A 25,254-nucleotide genomic window follows, 5' to 3' on the forward strand; every position below is an offset into this window, starting at 1 on the left:
TCAGGACCCCAAAGCCACAAAGCTGATGGGAGTGACAGGGTGTGAGGTATGGGTGTGAGTGAGTATGTGTGGTGGGGTGAGGTCGGCGTTCTTGGGGAGCAGAACCTCTTGGGGAGAGCAAGCACAGGATCACATGACGGCTGCGGAAAGCTGTCCTGCAAGGTGACCTTGAAGAGAACTTTTCCCTGCGCTTTGGAGCTGAGATTAGTTGCTGAGGCACACGGCAGACCCAAGTGCCCAGCAGCGCCTGGCAGTGGATGGAGTGTATGGAGATGGGCTCAGGACAGACTGGCAGAGGTTGTAAGACTGGCAGAGGCTGACCTCTGAGGATATTTTCAGGAAAAGCCTTTTTTTAAAGGGGCTGGAACAATTAAATGTCTTATCTATCCTCTCCCTCCATCTGCACAGCCACTGCACAACTCAGCATCCTCACCGGGCCCTGTGCATCTTGTCTCCCCTGGCTCCCCCATTCCATGTCAGCCCCTTTCAGTCCACTCTCCACACTGGAGGGATGCTTCTAAAAAGTAAATGTGCTGACTCCTCACCTGCTCACACGGCTACCCGAGGATGATTTTCACATCCCTTACTTGAGACGAAGGGATGTTGGCACTCTGGCTCCTGCCCATGCCTCCCTTTTTCTTCCACCATCCCCACCCCTCTGCTGTCCCTGCTTCAGCCATAGTGAGCTGCTCTCCGCGGCTTCGGTGTCCCACTTTTGTTCTCTCCTCCAGGCTGTTGTACTTGCTATGTCTTCTGCCGGAGTTACCCCCAGCCTTCCTGCATCTCCCCAAACTTGTGTCCCCAGCAAGTTCCTTCTGAGCCCTCAGATCTCAGCTCAGGTGCTGCCTCCTCTGGAAGTCCTTCTCAGATTTCTCATGACACCATGAGCCTCTGTGTTAGCCCCTTTTCACACTGGATTGTGTGCTAGACTGGCACATACATCCCTCCCACCAGCCAGGGAGCAACACGAGGCTGCTCTTGGTATACCCAGCACGGGGACGGGTGTGGCCAGAGGCCAGGGAATGCTTAATGAATGAATGGGGACAGGCAGCTTTTCAGCAGCGAGGCTAAGGGTGGGATCTGAGTAGCAGGGCCGCTTGCTCTTGTCACCTGAGTGCAGGGCAGAGTGTCTCCCAGGAGGGAGGGGCTCCTCGTATCTTCTCTTGTGCCCTGTTGTATTTAACCCTTTATGACTTTTTCCTTCATCAGTAACTGGGGGCAAGGCACTGGGGAAGAGGCATATCGTTATCACTGTTTTACAGAGATAACAATAGTAACAAATCTTCACATAGCTCTTTGCATTTATGAACTCATTCAGTTCTCTATGAGGTAGGTACAGTTATCATCCCCGTATCCCAGATAAGGACCCTCACAGAGGGTAAGTGACTTGCCCAAGATCACACTGGTAGGAAGTGGCAGAGCTGGGATTAGAACCCAGCAGTTTGGCCCCAGAGTCTGAGCTCTTAAGGAGCCTGAGGCTCAGCCAGATGAAGGCGCAGATGTGGGATTCCAACCCACACGTCCTGACTCTGAGCCCAGCTGGCATTCAGCTTCCTTGCACTACCTTTGTTGAGTCTGGGGGTGGAGGTGGGTATTGGGAGTGGAAGTTGGGCTCTTGAGGACACAGGTAGCCTCCTGTCAGCTAAGAACACTCTGGCCTTGATTGCCACCTCTGCACCATTGTCTGGATGGCAGATCTCTTTGGATTTCTCTTGAATTCCCTTAGTTCCTCTGGAATACAAGAGGGTTTGGGAACATTTTCTGGCTTGGTACCAAAGCTGTTTTTAATGAAAAGCAAACAAGCAAACAAATAAACAATCCCTGGCCAGCTGTGGTGGCTCACACCTGTCATCCTAGCACTTTGGGAGGCTGAGGCAGGTGAATTGCTTGAGCTCAGGAGTTTGAGACTAGCTAGGCCAACATGGTGAAACCCCATCTCTACCAAAAATACGAAAAAAAAAATAGCTGGGCATAGTGGTGTGCACCTGTGGACCCAGCTACTCGGGAGGCTGAGGTGGGAGGATCACTTGAGCCTGCCTGGGAGGCGGAGGCTGCAGTGAGCCAAGATCATGCTACTGTACTCTAGCCTGGATGACAGAGTGAGATCCTGTCTCAAAACAAAAACAAAAACAAACAAAAAACCCCACCAAGCTGGGTGTGGTGACCCATGCCTGTAATCCCAGCACTTTGGGAGGCCGAGACGGGTGGATCACTTGAGGCCAGGAGTTCGAGACCAGCTCGGCCAACATGGTGAAACCCCATCTCTACCAAAAATACAAAAATTAGCTGGGCATGGTGGCATGCTCCTATAGTCCCAGCTACTCGGGATGCCGAGGCAGGAGAATTGCTTGAACCCAGGAGGCAGAGGTTGCAGTGAGCTGAGATCACACCACTGCACTCCAGCCTGGGCGACAGTGGTCTCAAAAAAAAAAAAAAAAAAAGAAAAAAAACCAGCAACAGCAACAACAAAAAACTCACCAAATTGTCTTTAATAGGGACTAAACTGGGAACAGAAGAGGGGGTCTCAGATAATCCACAAGCCCCACTTTGCATGGTTGGGGGCCATTTTCAGTGTCCTGTGGCACTGTAGACAGAGTCAGCATTGGAGTTCAAGGGCTCTGGTCCCTACTCGCCCCTGGGTACCCAGCAAGTGAGTGGGCGACTGAATGAAGTGGTCAGCCTGCTGCCACGCTCGGGGCTGGGAGAACTGCTGAGTGCAGTGTGGTGGTGCGGGAAAGGTCTCCCTGTCCCGCTTCAATCCTTGCCTCTCCCCGTGGAGAGCTCTTCTTTCCCTTTCCAAGATGTCAGTCTACACTGGGCACTGAGTCTCACATTTCTGGGCTAGCAGGGACCCACTGGTGCCCTCGTAGGAGGTGGGCAAGGGTCCTGGGAAGCCTGGGAACCTCTGCCCAGCCTCAGGTCTAGCCTGGCCCAGGTCAGCTCTCAGTGGGGCTCAGAAGCTTTTTTTACTCCAGAAATGGTGATGGGGCTGGCTGTTTTTGTTTTGTTTTTGTTTTTGTTTTGTTTTGTTTTTGTTTTTGTTTTTGTTTTTGTTTTTGTTTTGAGATGGAGTCTCATTCTGTCACCCAGGAGTGCGGTGGTGTAATCTTGGCTCACTGCAGCCTCTGCCTCCTGGATTCAAGGAATTCTCCTGCCTCAGCCTCCGGAGTAGCTGGGATTACAGGTGCCCACCACCACACCCAGCTAATTTTTGTATTAGCCTCCAACCACACAATGCAATCCTACTGTTTTACCTTGAACCTGAGGACAGCTGGAGGGCTCCCCACAACCTCTCAGCTTCATAAGGGGTCTAACCCAGAGTGTGGGGAGGTTCAGGCACAACAGTTGGATGTTCACCCCACGGTTCACGGTGTGACCTTTGGCCAGGGGTTCCTCTCTCTAGGCCTTAGGGTGCTGGGTGATCCCTGAGGTCCCCACCAGCCTGGACATCCTGGGGCTCTGAATGTTTGTGAAGGGTTTGTCTGCCACCATGAAGTTGATCCTGACAGTGAGAGGCAGGGTCCCGTCTCTCTTGAGGACCCTACTCTGTGTTGGAGGTGGGGAGACCTTAGACATAAAATGATGGGCCTATCATATACGAGGAGTCCCAAAACTGCTGAATGAATGAGTGACCACAGGTGCTCAGAAGCAGGCTGAGGTGGTCCTAGAAGGCTTCCTGGAGGAAGAGGTGAGACTTGAACATGTAGCATCAGCCTGTTCAGGAGCCATATGTGAACCCCCAGCCTCAGCCATGGGCAGACACTCTTAGTGTTTTTTTTGTTTGTTTGTTTTTGAGGCAGAGTCTCACTCTGTCTCCCAGGCTGGAGTGCTGGAGTACAGTGGTGCCATCTCAGCTAACTGCAACCTCCACCTCTCTGGTTCAAGCGATTCTCATTTCTCGGCCTCCTGAGTAGCTGGGACTACAGGTGCGTGCCATCGGCTAATTTTTTCTATTTTTAGTAGAGACGGGGTTTCACCATGTTGGCCAGGCTGGTCTTGAACTCCTGACCTCAGGTGTTCTGCCTGCCTTGGCCTCCCAAAATGCTGGGATTACAGGCATGAGCCACCATGCCCGGCCCACTCTTAGTGTTGTTGTTGTTGTTGTTGTTTGTTTTTGTTTTGTTTTTTTTTTTTTTGAGACGGAGTTTCGCTCTTGTTGCCCAGGCTGGAGTGCAGTGGTGCTATTTTGGCTCACCGCAACCTCTGCCTCCCAGGTTCAAGCGATTCTCCTGCCTCAGCCTCCCAAGTAGCTGGGATTACAGGCATGTGCCACCATGCCTGGCTAATTTTGCATTTTTAGTAGAGATGGGGTTTCTCCATGTTGGTCAGGCTGGTCTCGAACTTCCGACCTCAGGTGAGCCACCCGCCTAGGCCTCCCAAAGTGCTGGGATTACAGGCGTGAACCACCATGCCCGGCCAGTGTTCTTAATTTATCTGGAGGACTCTTTTTTTGCTCTCCAAAATTTTATTTTAATATGCATAGCATAAGGGAATGATTACCTCATTAAAAAATTTTTTTTTAATGGGCCAGGCATGGTGGCTCATACCTATAATCCCAACACTTTGGGAGGCCGAGGTCGGTGGATTACTTGAGGTCAGGAGTTTGAGACCAGCCTGACCAACATGGAGAAACTGTGTCTCTATTAAAAATACAAAAATAAGCTGGATGTGCCCAGTTGAACCTGGGAGGTGGAGGTTGCAGTGAGCCGAGATCGCGCCACTGCACTCCAGCCTGGGTGACCGAACAAGACTCTGTCTCAAAAAAACATTAAAAAAAAAAAATGGACAGGTAATATTCTATGTTTTTATCATGTACAAATGATGTTTTGAAGTACGTATACATTATGTTATGACTAAATCTAATTAACAGATACATTACCTCACATAGTTTTCATTTTTTTGGTGATAGTGCAGAACATCTACTCTGCATTTTTCAAGAATACAATATATTGTCATTAACCATATCACCTTACTGTATAATAGATCTCTTGAAATTTATTCCTCCTAAGTGTAATTATGCATCCTCTGACTAAGATCTCTCCATCCCCCCAACAACCCCTGCCTCTGATAAGCAGCATTATACTCTATTTCCATGAAATCAACTTTTTAAGATTGATGTCTGAGTGAGGTCATGTAGTATTTGTCTTTCTGTGCCTGGCCCTTATTTCACTTAATATAACATACTCTGGGGGAGGTGGCTCGTGCCCATAATCCCAGTACTTCGGGAGGCTGAGATGGGCGGATCGCTTGAGCTCAGGACTTCGAGGCCAGCCTGGGCAACATGGCAAAACCCGATCTCTACAAAAACCACAAAAATTGCCAGGTGTGGTAGCACGCGCCTCTAGTCCCAGCTAGTTGGGAGGCTGAGGTGGGAGGATGGCTTGAGCCTGGGAGGTGAAGGTTGCTGTGAGCTGAAGTTATTGCATTTCAGCCTGGGCAACAGAGCCAGACCCTGTCACACACAAAAACAAAAACAAAAGAAAACAAAAAAAAAAACTCCACCATAACATACTCCAGGTTCATCCATGTAGTTGCAAATGGCAGGATTTTATTTTATTTTTATGGCTGAATAGTATTCCATAGTGTGTGTGTGTGTGTGTGTGTGTGTGTGTGTGTGTGTGTGTGTATATATATATATATATATTTTTTTTTTTTTTTTTTGAGATGGAGTCCTGCTTTGTCACCCAGGCTGGAATACAGTGGTGCAATTATGGCTTACTGCAGCCTCGAGCTCCTGGGCTCAAGCAAGCCTCCTGCCTCAGCCACCTGAGTAGCTGGGAATTAGAGGTATGCACCACTGTGCCCAGCTAATTTTTTTTTTAAGTTTTTGTAGAGATGGGTTCTCTCTATGTTGACCAGGCTGGTCTTGAACTCCTGGCCTCAAACTATCCTCTCCCCTTGGCTGTTGGGATTGCAGGTTTGAGCCACCACACCCAGCTTTATACCACATTAAAAAAATCCATTCATCCACTGGTGGACACTTAGTTGGTTCCATGTCTTGGCTATTGTGAAGAGTGCTGCAATAAACACGGGAGTAGAGGTATCTCTTCAATATACTGATTTCATTTCCTTTGGCTATATACCCAGTAGTGGGACTGCTGGATCATATGGTAATTCTATTTTTAATTTTTTGAGGAACCTCCATACTGTTTTCCATAATGGCTGTACCAATTTACATTCCCATGAACAGTGTCAAAAGGTTGCCTTTTCCCCAAATCCTTGCCAACACATATTGTCTTCTGGTTTTGTTTGTTTGTTTGTTTGTTTTGAGACGGAGTCTCACTCTGTCGCCCAGGCTGGAGTGTAGTGGCACGACCTTGGCTCACTGCAACCTCCGCCTCCCGGGTTCAAGTGATTCTCCTGCCTCAGCCTCCCAAATAGCTGGGATTACAGACATTGCGACACCATGCCTGGCTAATTTTTTGTATTTTCAGTAAAGATGGGGTTTCACCATGTTGGTCAGCCTGGTCTCGAACTCATAACCTCATGATCCACCTGCCTTGGCCTCCCAAAGTGCTGGGATTACAGGCGTGAGCCACCACGTCTGGCTCTGGTTTTTTGATAGTAGCTATTCTGACAGGTATGAGATGCTATTTCATTGTGGTTTTGATTTGCATTTCCATGATGATTAGTGATGTTGAGCATTTTTTTCATATACCTGGTGGACATTTGTATAGCTTCCTTTGAGAAATGCCTATTCAGGTCTTTTGCCCATTTTAATTTTTTTTTCTATTGAGTTGTTTTACTTCTTTGTATATTTTGGATGTTAACCCCTTGTCAGATATATAGTTTGTAAATATTTTCTCCCATTCTGTAGGTTGTCTCTTAACTCTGTTGATTGGTTCCTTTGCTGTGCAGAAGTGTTTTGGTATAAAGAAATCACATCTATTTTTGCTTTTGTTGCCTGTGCTTTTGAGACCCTATCCAAAAAATTCTTACCTAGCACAACGTCATGAAGTGTTTCCCTTATGTTTTCTTCTAGTAATTTTGTAGTTTGGGGGTCGTACATTTAAGTCTTTAACTCATTTTTATTTTTTATTTTTTATTTTTTTTTGAGATGGAGTCTCACTCTGTCGCCTAGGTTGGAGTGCAGTGGCATGATCTCGGCTCACTGCAACCTCCGCCTCCCAGGTTCAAGTGATTCTCCTGCTGCCTCAGCCTCCCAAGTAGCTGGGATGACAGGCACATGCCACCACGCCTAACTAACTTTTGTATTTTTAGTTGAGATGGGATTTCACCATGTTGGCCAGCTTAGTCTCGAACTCCTGACCTCAGGTGATCCACCCGCCTCAGTCTCCCAAAGTGCTGAGATTACAGGTGTGAGCCACTGCACCTGGCCTGATTTTTTTATACAGTGAGAGATAAGGGATTGATTTCATTTTTCTACATGTGGGTTTCCAGTTTTCCCAACATCAATTGTTGAATAGACTGTCCCTTCCCCAATGTGTGTTCTGGCACCTTTGTTGAAAATCAGTTGGCTGTAAATGTGTAGATTTATTTTGGAGCTCTCTATTCTGTTCCATTGGTCTATATGTCTGTCTGTTTTTATACCACTACCATACTGTTTTGGTTAATGTAGCTTTGTAGTATATTTCGAAATCAGGTAGTACAGTATGATGCCTTTGGCTCTGTTCTTTTTGCTCAAGATTGCTTTGGCTATTTGGGGTCTTTTGTGGTTCCATATGAATTTTAGGCTTGTTTTTTCTGTTTCTGTGAAGAATGTCATTGGCACTTTGATAGGGATTGCATTGAATCTGTAGATCACTTTGAGTAGTATGGACATTGTCACCATAATTCTTCTGATCCATGAACATGGGATCTTTTCATTTATATCTTCTTCAATTTCTTTCATTAATGATTTATAGTTTTCATTGTAGAGTTTTTTTTTTTTGAGACAGAGTCTCACTGTGTAGCCCAGGCTGGAGTGCAGTGGCATGATCTTGGCTCACTGCAACCTCTGCCTCCTGGGTTCAAGTGATTCTTCTCCCTCAGTCCCCCGAGTAGCTGGGATTACAGGTGTGTGCCACCATGCCTGGCTAATTTTTGTATTTTTAGTAGAGACAGGGCTTCACCATTGTTGGCAAGGCTCGTCTCGAACTCCTGACCTTGGGTGATCCGCCCACCTTGGCCTCCCAAAATGCTGGGATTACAGACGTGAGCCATCGCATCTGGTCTTCACTGTAGAGATCTTTCATCTCCTTTATTTATTTTTTAAGAGACAGTGTTTCCCTCTGTTGCCCAGGTTGGAGCGCAGTGGTCTGATCATAGCTCACTGTGGCTATGAATTCCTGGGCTCAAATGATACTCCTGCCTCAGCCTCCCAAGTAGCTGAGACTACAGGCATGTGCCACCACACCTGGCAGATTTTTTATTTAAAAAAATTAAAAAAAATTTTTATACTTAGGCCAGGCATGGTGGCTCACGCTTGTAATCCCAGCACTTTGGGAGGCCAAGGCAGGCAGATCACAAGGTCAGGAGTTCGAGACCAGCCTGGTCAACATGGTGAAATCCCATCTCTACTAAAAATACAAAAATTAGTCAGGTATGGTGGTGCGCACCTGTAATCCCAGCTACTGAGGAGGCTGAGGCAGGAGAATTGCTTGAACCCGGGAGGCGGAGGTTGCAGTGAGCCGAGATCATGCCACTGCACTCCAGCCTGAGTGACAGAGAAAGATTCCATCTCAAAAAAAAAAAAAAAAAAGAAAAAAATTAAATTATTTATCTACCCTTGTGTGCACTGAAAAAAACATTTTAAGAGATAGAGTCTTGCTATGTTGCCCAGGCTGGTTTCAAACTATTGGGCTCAAGCAATCCTCCCACCTCAGCCTCCTGAGTAGCTGGAATTACAGGCATGAGCCACCACTCCTGGTTTTTACCTCCTTGGTTAAATTTATTCTCAGGTATTTTATTTTATTTTATTTTTCGTAGCTATTGTCAATGGGATTGTTTTCCAGATTTCTTTTTTAGATAGTTTGCTATTAGTATATAGAAAGACTACTGACTTTTGTATGTTGATTTTGTATCCTGCAACTTTACTGAATTTATTATTCCTACCAGTTTTTTAGTGGAGGCTTTAGGGTTTTCTATATATAGGATTATGACATCTGCAAACAGGGACAATTTAACTTCCTTCTTTCCAATTTGGATGCCTTTTATTTCTCTCTCTTGCCTAATTGCTCTGGCTAGGACTTCCGGTATTACGTTGGATATAAGTGGTAAAAGTGGGCATCTTTGTTTTATCCCACATTTTAGATGAAAAGCTTTCAACTTTTCCCTGTTCAGTGGAGGACTCTTTTTCATCTTTCAAAACCCAGCTGGGCTATCATTTCCCCTTTGAATCCTCATCTTGTCTGTCCCTAGAGTTAATGACGTCTCCTCAGGATGTTGTATATACTTCACTCGTTCCCTCCACGGGTACTTACTGTACTGGGGGATTAACAGTTAGCCAGTGCTGGGTATGCTGTGGCCAATGATATATATAGCCTGTTTCCTGGAGCTGACAGCTAGTGCAGGAGAGATAGGGAGAAGGTATTCAAATAAACAATGATGAAAATCTGCAATAAGTGCTATGAATAGTAGTAATAACAGTAAATGCCATACAAGTGCTAGCTGTATGCCATGCCTGCAGTAACTCATTATTCCTTATAACAACTCTGTGAAGTAGATAATTGTGTCCGTATTAAAGATGAAACTGAGACAGACAGGTTAAGTAAGTTGCCCGAGGTAACACAGCTAGTAAGTAGCATTGCTGGGATTAAATTGAGACTGTCTGGAGAACAGGGAGCTGTGAGAGAATGATGAGGGGGTCAGGGGAGAGCTCTCTGAGCAGACGACAGCTGAGCAGAAAGCTAGCAGCTGAGAAGGCAGCCTTGGGAAGATCTGAGGGAAGAGCATTCCAGCCAAGGGGAACAGAATCCATTGGCAGGCTCCAAGGCTGGGGCGAGCTTGGTGCATCTGAGCAGCTGAATAGGGGCCCAGCAGCCCCTGCTGCTCACTCCTCACTCCACTTGGAGTGGAGGGAGCAAAGGGAACAGCTGGAAGAGGCTGAGGGCAGGCTTCCAGGACCTGCAGGCTGGGGGTCCAGGCCTTGTAGGCTGAGTTTGGGCTTTCGAGCGCTGTGGGTCATGTTGTCTTGCCTACCTGCCTGTGAGAGCCATGAGGGCTCCCTTGTCCCCAGGCTTAGTGCCAAGATATGCAGTTCCCGCACGCTGGGCTCAGCGACCCAGGGAAACACATCATCATGGTTCCCCTTCTTTGTATGGCCAGCACCTTGAAGGTCTCAGCTGCCTCCCCATTCACCCCCTGACTCCTCACAACAGGGAGGTGGGTAAAAGGCTCAGCCCCCGTGAGAGACGAGGCACAGAGAAGTGAGGTGACATGCCTGGGTTTGCACACCTGGCAAGAGACCCAGAGCTCTCATCTGCTAGACTGGGTCCCCGTTTCCAGCCCTTGTCTTGGCTAGCGGGGCATCTGGAACTTCCGTGCACCTAGAATGTGGCCTCACTGTTACATGTGGACCCACCCCATCCCAGCCTCCTCTGCCCACCCTCACACACTGACAGTGTAGATTCAGGGCCCCAGGCTGAGCTGACCCCACCCCACACACCTCAGGGTCGAGGGAGGCTGCCCACTGCCCCTCACCTGTGCCTGGGCTGGAGCAGGGCCAAGCTGGCATCCCGGGAGCCTTCGGAGAGCTGCTCATCACTCGGCCCGATGACGAAAAGGGTGCTGCCTTAGAGGCACTCACTCACCTCACCTCTGTGGGCATCAGTTTCCTAATATGAACCAGTTCTCTTCCTGCAGATCATGCCAAATTGTTGTCAGGAATAGAGATGTTGAAAAAATGGAGAACTCGGCACATAATTGGCCATGGTGAATAGTTTTCTTTTTTTTTTTTTCCATCTCATGTGAACCTCAGTTTTCTCAGTGGTTCAATGGTAGGGTCAGTTGGTCAGATGAGATGGTGAAAGCAAACTTTTCTGTTGAGGACCTACTAAGTGTCGGGCATATTTAAACTTCCCAACAGCTTTGCAAGGCTTCTGGTATTTATCTGGCTTTACAAGTTAGAAAACCAAGGCTCTGGTATGAAGCCACTGTGATCTAATTAGAGAATTCAAAGCCTCATCTGACCCCAAGCTCCAGCTGGGCAGGGGCCCTGGGTGCTGAAGCTCCTCTCCTTGTCCTGGGCTGACCTGGCTGAGCCAAGGAACTGACACCTCTGCCTTATGCCTGCTCTGTCCTGTGGCTCCAGGGACAGATGGTGCTGCTGGCTGGGTCCTCTGCCAGCTCCCTGGCTGCAGGCCTGTGTGCTCCTGCCATTCCCAGGGGCAGCCTTGCGGGTTAGAGGTGACATTGGGGCAGTGACGGACTGGGGCAGACCAGAGTCTGACACTTTGGGGACACAGGGATGAGCCAGACTAGACGTGTCCTCAGATGCCCTCAGGTTGATGGAGAGACAGAGGGAGGTACAAACCTACTATGGCAGCACAGCACAGCACAGCCAGGATGTGACAGAGGGAAGCACCAAGATAGCCCCTCACCAGCCCAGTGGTCAGGGTGGGCTCCCTGGAGGAGGTGATGGGTTAGGTTGGCCCTAAAAGCTTTTCTGGGTTAGGAAGAATGATCCAGGCAGAGGCACCTGTATGTAAGAGATGTGAAGGAGCCAGGTCCACAGAGAAATGAGGGAGTTAAGGGCACCCTCCTTGACCCCCTTGTCCATGTAATATGTATATCCTGCCTAGGGCTTCTTCAGTAGTAATAATTTGTCCTCAGCAAATGATATATTAACTAATTAATATCAGTGGACGTGAATTATTAAGCATCTGTTTTTGTTTTCTCGAGACAAGGTCTCACTCTGTTGTGCAGGCTGGAGTGCAGTGGTGCGATCATAGCTCACTGAAGCCTTGAATTCCTAGGCTCAGGTGATCTTCCTGCTGTAGCTTCCCCTCTCAGCCTCCCAAGTAACTGGTACACCTGACCTAGCAACCAAAAGAACAATGTGTCAACTATGCTTGGCTATTTTTTTTTTTTTGAGACAGAGTTTTGCTCTGTTGCCCAGGCTGGAGTGCAATGGCGCGATCTTGGCTCACTGCAACCTCCGCCTCCTGGGTTCAAGCAATTCCCCTTCGTCAGCCTCCTGAGTAGCTGGGATTACAGGCGCCTGCCACCATGCCCGGCTAATTGTTTGTATTTTTAGTAGAGACGGGGTTTCACCATGTTGGCCAGGCTGGTCTCGAACTCCTGACCTTAGGCAATCTGCCCACCTCGGCCTCCCAAAGTGCTGGGATTACAAGGCAATCCGCCCACCTTGGCCTCCCAAAGTGCTGGGATTACAGGTGTGAGCCATCGTGCCCAGCTGCTTGGCTGATTTTTTATTTTTTTTATTTTTTTTTATTTTTTAAATTTATTTTTTTATTGATAATTCTTGGGTGTTTCTCACAGAGGGGGATTTGGCAGGGTCATGGGACAATAGTGGAGGGAAGGTCAGCAGATAAACAAGTGAACAAAGGTCTCTGGTTTTCCTAGGCAGAGGACCCTGCGGCCTTCCGCAGTGTTTGTGTCCCTGATTACTTGAGATTAGGGATTGGTGATGACTCTTAACGAGCATGCTGCCTTCAAGCATCTGTTTAACAAAGCACATCTTGCACCGCCCTTAATCCATTTAACCCTGAGTGGACACAGCACATGTTTCAGAGAGCACAGGGTTGGGGGTAAGGTCACAGATCAACAGGATCCCAAGGCAGAGGAATTTTTCTTAGTGCAGAACGAAATGAAAAGTCTCCCATGTCTACTTCTTTCTACACAGACACGGCAACCATCCGATTTCTCAATCTTTTCCCCACCTTTCCCGCCTTTCTATTCCACAAAGCCGCCATTGTCATCCTGGCCCGTTCTCAATGAGCTGTTGGGCACACCTCCCAGACAGGGTGGTGGCCGGGCAGAGGGGCTCCTCACTTCCCAGTAGGGGCGGCCGGGCAGAGGCGCCCCTCACCTCCCGGACGGGGCGGCTGGCCGGGCAGGGGGGCTGACCCCCCCCACCTCCCTCCCGGACGGGGCGGCTGGCCGGGCGGGGGGCTGACCCCCCCACCTCCCTCCCGGACGGGGCGGCTGGCCGGGCAGAGGGGCTCCTCACTTCCCAGTAGGGGCGGCCGGGCAGAGGCGCCCCTCACCTCCCGGACGGGGCGGCTGGCTGGGCAGGGGGGCTGACCCCCCCCCCACCTCCCTCCCGGACGGGGCGGCTGGCCGGGCAGAGGGGCTCCTCACTTCCCAGTAGGGGCGGCCGGGCAGAGGCGCCCCTCACCTCCCAGACGGGGCGGCTGGCCGGGCGGAGGGCTGACCCCCCCCACCTCCCTCCCGGACAGGGCGGCTGGCCGGGCGGGGGGCTGACCCCCCCAACCTCCCTCCCGGACGGGGCGGCTGGCCGGGCAGAGGGGCTCCTCACTTCCCAGTAGGGGTGGCTGGGCAGAGGCGCCCCTCACCTCCCAGACGGGGCGGCTGGCCGGGCGGAGGGCTGACCCCCCCACCTCCCTCCCGGACGGGGCGGCTGGCCAGGCGGGGGGCTGACCCCCCACCTCCCTCCCGGACGGGGCGGCTGGCCGGGTGGGGGGGCTGACCCCCCCATCTCCCTCCCGGACGGGGTGGCTGGCCGGGCTGAGGGGCTCCTCACTTCCCAGTAGGGGCAGCCGGGCAGAGGCGCCCCTCACCTCCCGGACGGGGCGGCTGGCCGGGCGGGGGGCTGATCCCCCCACCTCCCTCCCGGACGGCACGGCTGGCCAGGCGGGGGGCTGACCCCCCCACCTCCCTCCCGGATGGGGCGGCTGGCCGGGCGGGGGGCTGACCCACCCCCCACCTCCCTCCCGGACGGGGTGGCTGCCGGGCGGAGAGGCTCCTCACTTCTCAGATGGGGCAGCTGCCGGGCGGAGGGGCTCCTCACTTCTCAGACGGGGTGGTTGCCAGGCAGAGGGTCTCCTCACTTCTCAGACGGGGCGGCCGGGCAGAGACGCTCCTCACCTCCCAGACGGGGTCTCGGCCGGGCAGAGGCGCTCCTCACATCCCAGATGGGGCGGCGGGGCAGAGGCGCTCCCCACATCTCAGACGATGGGCGGCCGGGCAGAGACGCTCCTCACTTCCTAGATGTGATGGCGGCTGGGAAGAGGCGCTCCTCACTTCCTAGATGGGATGGCGGCCGGGCGGAGACGCTCCTCACTTTCCAGAGTGGGCAGCCAGGCAGAGGGGCTCCTCACATCCCAGACGATGGGCGGCCAGGCAGAGACACTCCTCACTTCCCAGACGGGGTGGCGGCCGGGCAGAGGCTGCAATCTCGGCACTTTGGGAGGCCAAGGCAGGCGGCTGCTCCTTGCCCTCGGGCCCTGCGGGGCCCGTCCGCTCCTCCAGCCGCTGCCTCCCGGGCGGCGCTCGCTGGCGCGGCGGCAAAGACTCTGATTTTTTAAAAATGTATTCTAGAGATGGGGTTTCGCCATGTTGCCAAGGCTGGTCTTGAACTCCTGGCCTCAAGTGATCCTTCTGCCTTGGCCTCTGAAAGTGCTGGGATTATAGGTGTCAGCCACTGCACCCAGCTTAAGCAACTTGGAGAGGCAGCCCAGTGAGTAGAAATGGCTTTGGTATTGAGAAAAGCGAAATCTCAGCTCCATCGCTCACCGGCAGAGTGCCATTAGACAAGGCTTTTATAACCCAAGCCTCAGTTCCCTTTTCTGTGCAGGAGGAATAATTGTCCCTCACAGGGTTTTGGTGAGGATGAATGGTGTTATGGATATAAAGCAATTTTATATAATGTATAGAAAAGCCTGAAACTTAGTAGGTGCTTAGTAAGGATGCACCAGGATTCCAGAGACACATGAGATGTGGCCCCTGTCTTCAAGGAGTTTCTTATTACCACATGTGTGTATTCTTTTACAGCCTAGAAAGCTCTATGGGCCAGGCTCAGTGGCTCATGCCTGTAGTCCCAGCACTTTGGGAGGCAGAGGCAGGAGGATCCCTTGAGCCCAGGAGTTCCAGACCATCCTGGGCAACACAGACCTCATCTTACTAAAAATAACATTTAAAAAATTGGGCTTGGTGCCGTGGCTCATGCCTGTAATCCCAGCACTTTGGGAGGCTGAGGGAGCGGGGGGCGGATCACTTAAGATCATTAGTTCAAGACCAGCTTGGCCAACATGGTGAAACCCCATCTCCACTAAAAATATAAAAATTAGCTGGGTGTGGAGGCTTGTGCCTGTAATCCCAGCTACTCGGGAGGCTGAGGCAGGAGAATCGCTTGAACCCAGAAGGCGGAGGTTGCAGTGAGCCGAGATTGTGCCACTGCACTCCAGCCTGGGCAACAGAATGAAACTCCATCTCAAAAAAAAAAAAAAAAATTAGCCAGGTGTGGTGGTGCGTGCCTGTAGTCTCAGCTACTCAGCTACTCAAGGGGCTGAGGTGGGAGGATTGCTTGAGCCTGGGACGTAGAGGCTGCAGTGAGCCATGATGGCGCCACTGCACTCCAACCTGGGTGACAGAGCAAGACCCTGTCTCCAGAAGAAAAAGAAAAAATAAAATAAAAAAAGAAAAAAAGAAAGAAAGCTGTGCACAGCTTTACGTCGTCTGTTATTCAGAAGCCTGGTAGGTCAGTGCTTGGCTAACAGCACCCGGGCTGTGGCCCAGAGAGGACCAGGTTCAGGTTGCCTGCGGGGGGTGGGGAATCTCAGGTCTCTCCACTCCTTGGCATTGTCTTATTTACGACCTCTAGAATAGGCTGTGATCTGCCCTGGGGCGTGGCCCTGCCCAGGTGTGGCCCTGTGCCAGACGTGGACTCGGTGAGAGGTCGGAAGGGGAGTGGCCTTGGGACTTCCTTTCAGCAGCCTCTGGTTTCCAGCACCACACCTGGGCCGAGCTGAAGCAGGTAGGTCTGACTTTTCTTTTGATCCCTTAGGGAGGGTGTGGAGAGACCCAATTCCTCTTTTTCTTCTCCAGGGATACAGCCCCGTGAGTGGTGGGAGGGACAAGTGGGAGGTCCGAAGTCGGAAGACTCTGGCTGGTTCTTGACCGGCTCTCTTCCCCAGCCTCAGCTTCCTCATTCATAACATAGGGATGTCGGGGTTGGGGCGGTGGGGGGTGATAATGGTCCCTGCAACTGGAGCCTGCTTCGTGCCAGGTAGCTTAATGCCATGGCAGGTATTTACAGAGAAGGGGTGTTAAGAGATCAGATGTACATGTGCCTATAGGCTTTGAGAGCAGGGCGAACATGGGAGAGGAAGGGGCCCAAGCATAAAGTGACTTTGGGGCCAAGGGAGGGGCCCTTTCTGAAGAGAGTCCAAGGGGAAAAGCATAGCCTTGCATCTCAGCACCGTCTTCCCCCACACCACCCCAGGCCCTCCTTGGCCTTTGAGTTTACTTGGTCCCCACCCTCCCCTTGCTTTTGAAGACTGAACTGGAGCTTCCAGGCAGCAAGGCAAGGAGAAGGTGTGTCTGTGCAGACTGGTTCTCAGCTGGGAAAACAGGAAGGCAGGCCTTCTGGATGGGGAGTCGAGGCAGTGATACTCTTTACCCGGCAGATCCCACTGCCTGGGTGGGATCCACAGGTCGGAAACCACTTCTGCAGTGAGCTCTTTTCCTATAGGCTCATATCATGCAGAAGGTAGGAGTGCTGGGAGGCAACTGATAACAAGGTGTCCAAAGTCCCAGGCTGTGTATCAGAAGTTCCAGTTGTTGGGTGACCTGATCGCCCTCCAGCTGATGTCCCCTCTGCTGCACTCCTGCCAGGCTCTGGAGTCAGAAGGACCCAGGTCCAGTCTCCCCTTTGCCTTTTACTGGCCAGGAGTGCATGGGTGGCCCTTTCCTTGTTCCCTGTCCATTTCCTTTCTCTTATCTGTAAAATAAGGAATGAGGAGGATTCCTGCTTCAGAGTGAGAATTAAAGGGCCCCCAAGAACGAGACCTGGCATACAGTAGGTACATGGTAAGTAGCAGTCATAGATTTCTGAAAAGGGATCTTTGAGCTTCTGCAAAGGCAATTCTTAGCCCCCGTCCTGTAGAAAGCTCTCTTGTCTCAGTAGGATCCCTCCTACTGGATCTGTCCCAGGACCAGATGAACCAACCAGCTTTAGTATCTCCCAGACTCTAGGCAAACAAAGCCCCTTCCAACTGCTACCTTGTTTCTTTGCTGCCTTTTCCCACACACATTTTGGAAAGAGTTTTCTCTGTTCCCATGGTATTACCTCTCATTCTTTCCCTAATTCACTCTAACTGGACTCCTCTCTTCCCCCTCCCTCCCTCCTTCCTACCTTCCTGTCAAAAATCAGTGATAGCTTGTTTCCCCATCTGCCTTGACTCAGAGCTCACGCACCAGCAGGGCCCCCTTCCCTCTGGAGAGCCAGACTCTCCTGGGGTCCTCCCACCTCACTGACTGCTTGCTCGCAGACTCCTTTGCAGATTCCTCCTCCCCACGTGACTTCTAAATAGCTGAGTGTGAGGGCAGGCATGGTGGCTCACACCTGTAATCCCAGCATTTTGGGAGGCCGAGGCAGGCGGATCACTTGAAGTCAGGAGTTCGAGAGCAGCCTGACCAACATGGTGATACCCCATCTCTACTAAAAATACAAAAATTAGCTGGGCATGGTGGCGCGTTCCTGTAATCCCAGCTACTTGGGTGGCTGAGGCACGAGAATCGCTAGAACCCGGGAGATGGAGATTGCAGTGAGCCGAGATTGTGCCACTGCACTCCAGCCTGGGTGACAGAGCAAGACTGTCTCAAAAAAAAAAAAAAAAAAAGCCGAGTGTGAATGTCTCTGTCAACCCATCTTCTTGGATGATGTCTGTTCTAGTTACAGTGGCTGTGTAACAAACTACCCCGAACCTTAGTAGCTTAAAGCAACAACTGGTTTCTATCATCTTGTGATTCTATGGGTCAGGAATTCTGGCAGGGCTGGGCTGGGTGGTTTGTCTGCTCTATGTGGCATTGATGGAGGCTGCTTAGTGGAACTTAGTGGTGGATGGGCTGAACTGGGGGCTCCATGATGCCTTCACTGGCACCTCGGTGGGGAGTGCTGGAAGGTTGGGTTTAGCTGGGACTGTCATTTGGAGCACCCACGTGTGGCCTCTTCAATATGACAGTCTTGGGATAGTTAGATTTTCTACCTGGCAGCTGGCTCCACTAGAGCAAGAGTTCTAAGAGGCCTGGGGGGAAGCTGCAAGGTGTGTCATGATCTAGTCTCAGAGTCACTGTTGAAATGTCACTAAAAATGACTCAGATTCAAGAGGAGGAGGTTAGACTCTACCTTTGAATGGGAGGAGTAGCAAAAATTGGTGGCCTTCTTTCATTTACCACAACGTCTCAAAATCCTGTGGATCTTAAATACCCATATATGTTAGTGTCTCCAGGTGTAGCCTCTTCTCCAGTGAGCTCCAGGCCTGAGTTCCTTGATTCCTCTCTTTAAATGTTTAATAGGATCTCACAAATTCTTGTCCCCTACTTATTTCTACACTGATCTCCCCAACTCAGTAACCAGTACCACCATCTGCCAGTCACTCATTCTAAGCTTGGATCCTCCTTTCTTATTTATTTATTTTGACTTTTTTCCTTTTTTTTTTTTTTGAGATGCAGTCTCACTCTGTCTCCCAGGCTGGAGTGCAATGGCGCGATCTAGGCTCACTGCAACCTCTGCCTCCCAGGTTCAAGCGATTCTCCTGCCTCAGCCTCCGGAGTAGCTGGGATTATAGGCACCTACCACCACACCCAGCTAATTTTTGTATTTTTAGTAGAGACGGGGTTTCACCATGTTGGCCAGGCTGGTCTTGGACTCCGGACCTCAGGTGATCCACCCGCCTCAGCCTCCCAAAGTGCTGGGATTACAGGCGTGAGCCACTGTGCCTGGCCTTTTTTCCCTAATTTTTATCCTGCCTACCACCTCCCATCATCTCCACGACCAAGTCCCCTAGCCGCTCGCAAACCCTCCCTCTACACTGCCCGCAGGTGTAGCTGCCGCTTCCCTCGACCACCCTCTCCAACTGGCACCACCCTGTCCCTTCTCACACACGTGGAGTCCTTCAGCAAGACCTGTTGCTTCTACCTCCCAAATACATCCTGGCTCCACCTCTCTGCCCAGCCAGCCCTCTCCCCTGACTGCAGTGGCCCGCTGAGCAGTCTGCCTGCTGCTTCTCTCCATCCTAAAGTTCACCTCCACACAGCAGCAGAGTGATCTTACAACGCAGGCCAGACCACCACCCTCCCCTACAGCCTCCAGTTCTTCCCCTCACACTTGGAGTAAAATCCAAGCTCCACTGGGACATACAAGACCTTAGGGGATGGGGCAGAGTCTGCTCTCTGCATTTCTTAGGTCCTTCTGTCCCAACACGTCCCTGTTCTTCCTCTGACAGCCGGTCCCTGCGCTTCCTTGGGGTTTTTGCACTGTCTGTTCTCTTGTCCGCAACCCTGCACAGTCTTGTGCAATTGCTCCTTCTCATCATTCCTTCAGATCCTAGCCAGGAAGCCTCTTTGATTACACAGCCTAAAGAAGCTCCTCCCTGTCCACCACCTTCTTTCTGTTACATCCCGTTTTTTCTTTCTCATAGCACTTTTCCCTCTTCTTGTTCCTCTTTTGTTTATTGTCTGTTCATGTGAGAAGACACTATGTCTGTTTAAGGTTTTCCCAGCACCTTTTTTTTTTTTTTTTTTTTTTTGAGACGGAGTTTTGTTCTTGTTGCCCAGGCTGGAGTACAATGGTGCGACCTCGGCTCACTGCAACCTCCACCTCCTGGGTTCAAGCAATTCTCCTGCCTCAGCCTCCCAAGTAGCTGGGATTACAGGAATGCACCATCACGCCTGGCTAATTTTGTATCTTTAGTAGAGACGGGGTTTCTCCATTTTGGTCAGACTGGTCTCCAGCTCCCAACCTCAGGTGATCCACTCACTTCGGCCTCTGAAAGTGCTGGGATTACAGGCGTGAGCCACCATGCCTCTGGCCCCCAGCACCTTTATCTTTTGGCAGAGGCTGGGGGGCCCAGTGTGGACTGAACTTCATGGGAGTTTTTAGATTTATTTTTTATTTTTATTTTATTTTTTAAAAGACAGGGTCTCACTCTATTGCCTAGCCTGGAGTGCAGTGATGTGATCATAGCTCATCGTAACCTTGAACTCCTGGCTCAAGTGATCCTCCCACCTCAGCCTTCCGAGTGGCTGGGGTGTGGCTAAAAACTTTTTCTTTTACCAGACTGGGCAACATGGCAAGACCCCATCTGTGTAAAAAATAAAAAATTAAAATTAGCTGGGCATGGTGGCACCCGTCTGTAGTCCCAGCAACTTGGGATGCTGAGGTGGGAGGATTACTTGAGCCTGGGAGGTCAAGGCTGCAGTGAGCCAAGATTAAGCCACTGCATTCCAGCCTGGGCAATAGACAGAGCAAGACTCTCTCGAAAAAAAAAAAATAATTTTTTTTTTTTTTGTAGAGATGGGATCTTGCTCTCTTGCCCAAGTTGGTCTCAAACGCCTGGCTTCAAGCAATCCTCCTGCCTCAGCCTCCCAAAGTGCTGGGATTACAGGCATGAGCCACTGTGTCTGGCAGTGGGAGTTTTTAAAAAGATTTATGTTGATTCCCAGCTAGAATCGGCCCCTTCCTAACCTTGTCCACCCCTTTGGGGTCTTGGTTTTACACTTTACTAGGCCTCTTTCTGTCCTCTAATCCAGCCAGCCTTTGGATTTGCAGCCAGAGGCCTGACACCCAGGCCACACGCAGCCTGGCCCCCTCACTGTCCCTCCGACGGCCTGGTTGTCATCCTGAGCCACTCCTTGTTCCCTCTGTTTTCCCCTTCACAGGACTGGGCCTCATGCTGCCTGCCAAATGCCAGTCTTGGGCTGTCTCCTCCCTGCCACTGAGTCATTCCTTCCCGAAATGCACTCCCTTCACCCCCCAACCCCTCACCACAGGGTGAAGCCTTCAACAGCCACAGGGTGCCCATTTGGTTACAGCAGGAATTGTTATTGTTGAGTGTGTGGACAGATGAAATAATAAGGCTGTTTTCCCATAAACAACTATTAAGCTGGAGCCACCCCAGCATGCATACAACTTAAAAAAGTGATAGCAACAGAAAAGCTTAAATGCAGGTTGATAGAATGAGTCTTTTTCATTTTCATCTGCTTGGTTTTAAGTTTATGTGTTACAACCTTTCAAGTGGTCATCTAGGACCAGGTGTCTCTTCAGGTAAGCCATTTGATCACATGTTGAATGGAGCAGGTACATGTGGTACTTAATTGGAGACAGCTCCCAGGTTCCATTGAACACATATTTACTGAGCACTTACAATGTTCTGGGTCTATGCAAATGCAAATTTTGTCCATTCCTAACCCAGTGGTCTGCTCCTGTGTGCCCAGCATGCCTTGTTCTCAGTGAACCCGAGCTGCTTTCTAGTGACTGTTGCCTTCTATTCCAATAATCCATTTCCCTCATGAGGTGTCTTGAGCCTCTCGAGGGCCTACAAAATGCAAAGGCTTCCCAGCAGTTGTGGAGTCTGGTTAGACCATATGTGGGCGTCTGCGGGAGGCTTCGTAGAGTGCCACAGACTCTGTCCTATTCCACATCTTGATTCTTGGTTGAAATGAACCACAAACCAATGAATTCTGTCTTGGTAGAGAGAGGATGTGTTCAACTGGCAGTGCCAGGAGGGAAAGCAGATGCCATTGTCATAGCCCAGGGCTGAAAGGCTCCATCTGACCCCCACTGCTCTGCAAAGGCCATCTGGCCAGTCACAGCACTTACCCTTGGGACCTGTTTAGGCCCTTCCTCACTAGAATGGTTTTCTGGGTCTTTCTACAACACCTTGCCCTTTTTATTTTTTGAGACAGAGTCTCGCTGTCACCCAGGCTGGACTACAGTGGAGTGATCTCAGCTCACTACAACCTCCACCTCCTGGGTTCAAGCGATTCTCCTGCCTCAGCCTCCCAAAGTGCTGGCTGGGATTACAGGCATGAGCCACCGTGCCTGGCCTTTTTTTTTTTTTGAGACAGAGTCTCGCCCTGTTGCCCAGGTTGGATGGAGTACAGCAGCAAGATCTTGGCTCATTGTGACCTCTACCTCCCAGGTTCAAGCGACTCTCCTGCCTCAGCCTACCGAGTAGCTGGGATTACAGGCACCCGCCACCACACCCAGCTAATTTTTTTGTATTTTTAGTAATGACAGAGTTTCACCATGTTGGCCAGCCTGGTCTCAAACTCCTGGCCTCAAGTGATCTGCCTGCCTCGGCCTCCCAAAGTGCTGGGATTACAGGCCTGCCTTGGCTTTTTAACAACATGAAGGCACTTCCTATGAGTCAGATCCTGTTCTAAGCACTTTACATGTATAATCTCATTGAATCCCAATTATGATATTCTCTCTCTCTTTTTTTTTTTTTTTTAAAGAGACAGGGTCTCACTCTGTCACCCAGGCTGGGTAACTATGATATTCTTATTCCCATTTGACAGATGTGGATATGGAGGTTCAGAATGGCTCAAGTAAAATGGCTTCGGGTTATCTAGCCAGACAGTCTGAAGCCCTTGGGCCTTGCTGTCCTCTTTGCCAGCCCCCATGCCTTCCTGTTTCTTTCTTCTCTCTTTCTCTTCACCCTTCTGATTATTTCAATAAACCTTCTTGTAGGCTCAAATTCCTCTGAGACAGTGTAGGAAAATATGGGGATGGGAGTGGAATTGGAACAGGTCTGATAGGGCTACTTTGCAGCCAGAGAGCTTGAGGCTGAAGGCAGCATCTGGAGTGTGGATGGTGCCGCGTAGAGAGTTGCTGGCACACCTGCTGAGCTCAGCTGCCTCTGCCAGAGACTAGATTGTGCTCAGCTCTGGACCTCCTAATGCCCAGATTTGGCAGCTTGGGCCTTAGAAGCAGCACCACAGGTTCCTCTGCTAAGCCTTGTTCTGAGACCTGCTCTGCAACACCTGCAGTGTAAGGGCACTCCTTCAGTGAGTAAAATCACAGCTCCTCTCCCACCTCTCTGCTCCGCTCAGGAATGTTTTCTTGAACACTCCTGGGAAAATGAAAATGTTGTTATGTTGTGCAAGGGGAAGCTGGGTAAGGTGGGAAGAAGAGAGCCAGAGGATAGCAGGCCTGGGCAGGCAGGAGGGCCCTGGGAACCATCTGGGGCCTTGGGGTAGTGAGGGGGATGCTGAGTGGGGAGGTGCTGCTGGGGGAGCTGGGAGAAGGGGCCCCACTTTCTGGGGAGGAAGAGGACATCATCCCCAGCAGGAAGGGCCCGCAGGACCCTGGAGCAGCCGCTGGGGCCTTGAAGGGGCCCACTGGGCTGCTGGTTTCCTGGGGCAGGAAGTCCTGGCTGCAGCCAGAATTTGGCCAGGGGAGGGCAGCTCAGGCAGGAGGAAGGTGCACAGTGGGGGAGGTCTGGAGCCTGTCCTCCCTTCCTGCTCGCCTCTCTTCTGCTTGCTCTGTTCCCTGCCAGCCTCTGTTTTTCTCTCGCTCTGACCTCTGCATTGTTCCTTCCCTCCTGTCTTTGACGCCTTTCCTTTCTCTCTCTCTGACTCTGGTTTCTTCTCCTTTCCCTCTGCTCTCTCTCATTCTCTCTCTCTTGCTCTCCTGAAGGGGAATTGTGATGCCTGTAGCTGCTGTGCCCAGCTCCAGGGTAAACAGAGTTGCTTGCAGGATGGTAGGGCCCGGGTCCATTGCCTGGCCACCTGTTGCCATGGTGACCCAGAGGCAGCACAGGCAGCAGCCTTGGCTGTCTGGCAGGTAGGGCAGGGGTCTGAGGAGGGGAAGAGGCCGGGTCTGTCCTTCACAGCCCCAGAATGGCCCACCCCACCGTCAGGGCCTGTGGCATGGGGGTGACTGCCTGTGAACATGGGTTCTGTACTGGGTGCTGTCAAAGCAGCTCCCCTGAGGGGGGGGGTCACACGGAAAGGGCGGGTCATTCATACTTGGGGTCAGACTCAGACTGCCTGTGTTCTAATCGCTTCTGGCCACTTTTGTGGTCTGCTGGAGGTAGAGGGTGGGAGGTGGCAAATAGCCCCAAGGGAGGAAGCCACAGGGAGGCAGCTAGTGAGTGGGACATAGGGAAGAACAGGCAGATTTGCTCTTTAGCAGAAGGGTCTCCCTTGGAAGGGAGTGAGCCCTCTGCTTCTGGGAGCAAACAAGCTCATGCTGGACAGCCACCAGAGGCAGTGTGGCGGGCTGAGATTTCTGCACCTGAGAGAGGCCTGTCTAGCTGAACCTGAGGTTTCCTCCCACTCTGAGAGCTGAGAATTTATAAAGTACAGTTTTCAGCTCCCTGAGAGTTTGCAATTTCCTCACTGACAGTGGCCCAGTGGGACAGTGTTCTGGAAAGTGCCTTGACCCTGGACCATGCTGGAAAAGGGTACTGACACCATCACGGCCTCCTGCAGAGGACATAAGGGTAGACAGGGAGGGGAGCTTCTTGGAAGTCCTGGCTCCAGGTATGGGTCCTGGCCTAGCATGTCTGGTTAAGGAAGAGCCGGTGGATGTCACAGATGCCTGGGATGCAGCAGCAACTGTCCTGCCTGCCAGATGAGAGAGAAGCAGTTGTACAAAGTGGTCAAGCAGTCTTAGCTTTTGCGGTAAGCAGACTTGGGTTGATGTCTCAGCTCTGCCCTTTCCTGGCTGTGTGATTTTGTGTGCATATATGTGCAAGTTACCTTTTCTGAGACTTTGTTTCCCCATCTGTAAAATGGGAATAATAACAACATTCAGGTATTAAGGCTGTGTGATGATTAAAAGAGATAATGTGTAAAAATATTCAGTACAGGCTGGGCACAGTGGCTCACGCCTGTAATCCCAGCACTTTGGGAGGCCAAGGCAGGAGGATCACTTGAGGCTAGGAGTTCGAGATCACCCTGGCCAACATGGTGAAACCCCATCTCTACTAAAAATACAAAAAGTATCCAGGCATGGTGGCACACACCTGTAATCCCAGCTACTTGGGAGGCAGAGGCAGGAGAATAGCTTGAACCCCGGAGGTGGAGGTTGCAGTGAGCCAAGATCACACCGCTGCATTCCAGCCTGGGTGACAGAGTGAAACTCTCTCAAAAGAAATAAAAAAATGTGGCTGGGCGGTGACTCACACCTGCAATCCTAGCACTTTGGGAGGCCGAGGCAGGTGGATTACCTGAGGTCAGGAGTTTGAGACCAGCCTGATGAACATGGTGAAAACCCGTCTCTACTAAATACAAAAAATTAGCCGGGCGTGATGGCGCATGCCTGTAATCCCAGCTACTCAGGAGGCTGTGGCAGGAGAATCGCTTGAACCCAGGAGGTGG

At 51.0% G+C, this 25,254-nt stretch overlaps 1 protein-coding gene across 2 annotated transcripts in view, besides 3 other annotated features; it reads left to right on the top strand.

The window, feature by feature from the left end:
• ACOT11 (acyl-CoA thioesterase 11) overlaps positions 1-25,254 on the top strand; it is a 90,965-nt gene that overhangs the window by 481 nt on the left and 65,230 nt on the right. The gene's annotated exons all lie outside the window — the stretch shown is intronic.
• Positions 20,760-21,272: an enhancer, noted in NCBI's record as "H3K27ac-H3K4me1 hESC enhancer chr1:55035141-55035653 (GRCh37/hg19 assembly coordinates)". NCBI's record gives its function as "activates a minimal SCP1, AML or CMV promoter by ChIP-STARR-seq in naive H9 embryonic stem cells {active_cell/tissue: H9 hESC(naive)}" and the evidence as "EXISTENCE:reporter gene assay evidence [ECO:0000049][PMID:30033119]".
• Positions 22,688-23,211: an enhancer, noted in NCBI's record as "H3K27ac-H3K4me1 hESC enhancer chr1:55037069-55037592 (GRCh37/hg19 assembly coordinates)". NCBI's record gives its function as "activates a minimal SCP1, AML or CMV promoter by ChIP-STARR-seq in primed H9 embryonic stem cells {active_cell/tissue: H9 hESC(primed)}" and the evidence as "EXISTENCE:reporter gene assay evidence [ECO:0000049][PMID:30033119]".
• Positions 23,212-23,733: an enhancer, noted in NCBI's record as "H3K27ac-H3K4me1 hESC enhancer chr1:55037593-55038114 (GRCh37/hg19 assembly coordinates)". NCBI's record gives its function as "activates a minimal SCP1, AML or CMV promoter by ChIP-STARR-seq in primed H9 embryonic stem cells {active_cell/tissue: H9 hESC(primed)}" and the evidence as "EXISTENCE:reporter gene assay evidence [ECO:0000049][PMID:30033119]".

The sequence above is a fragment of the Homo sapiens genome, chromosome 1 (genome assembly GCF_000001405.40).
Source record: "Homo sapiens chromosome 1, GRCh38.p14 Primary Assembly".
NCBI classification, from domain to species: Eukaryota; Metazoa; Chordata; class Mammalia; order Primates; family Hominidae; genus Homo; species Homo sapiens.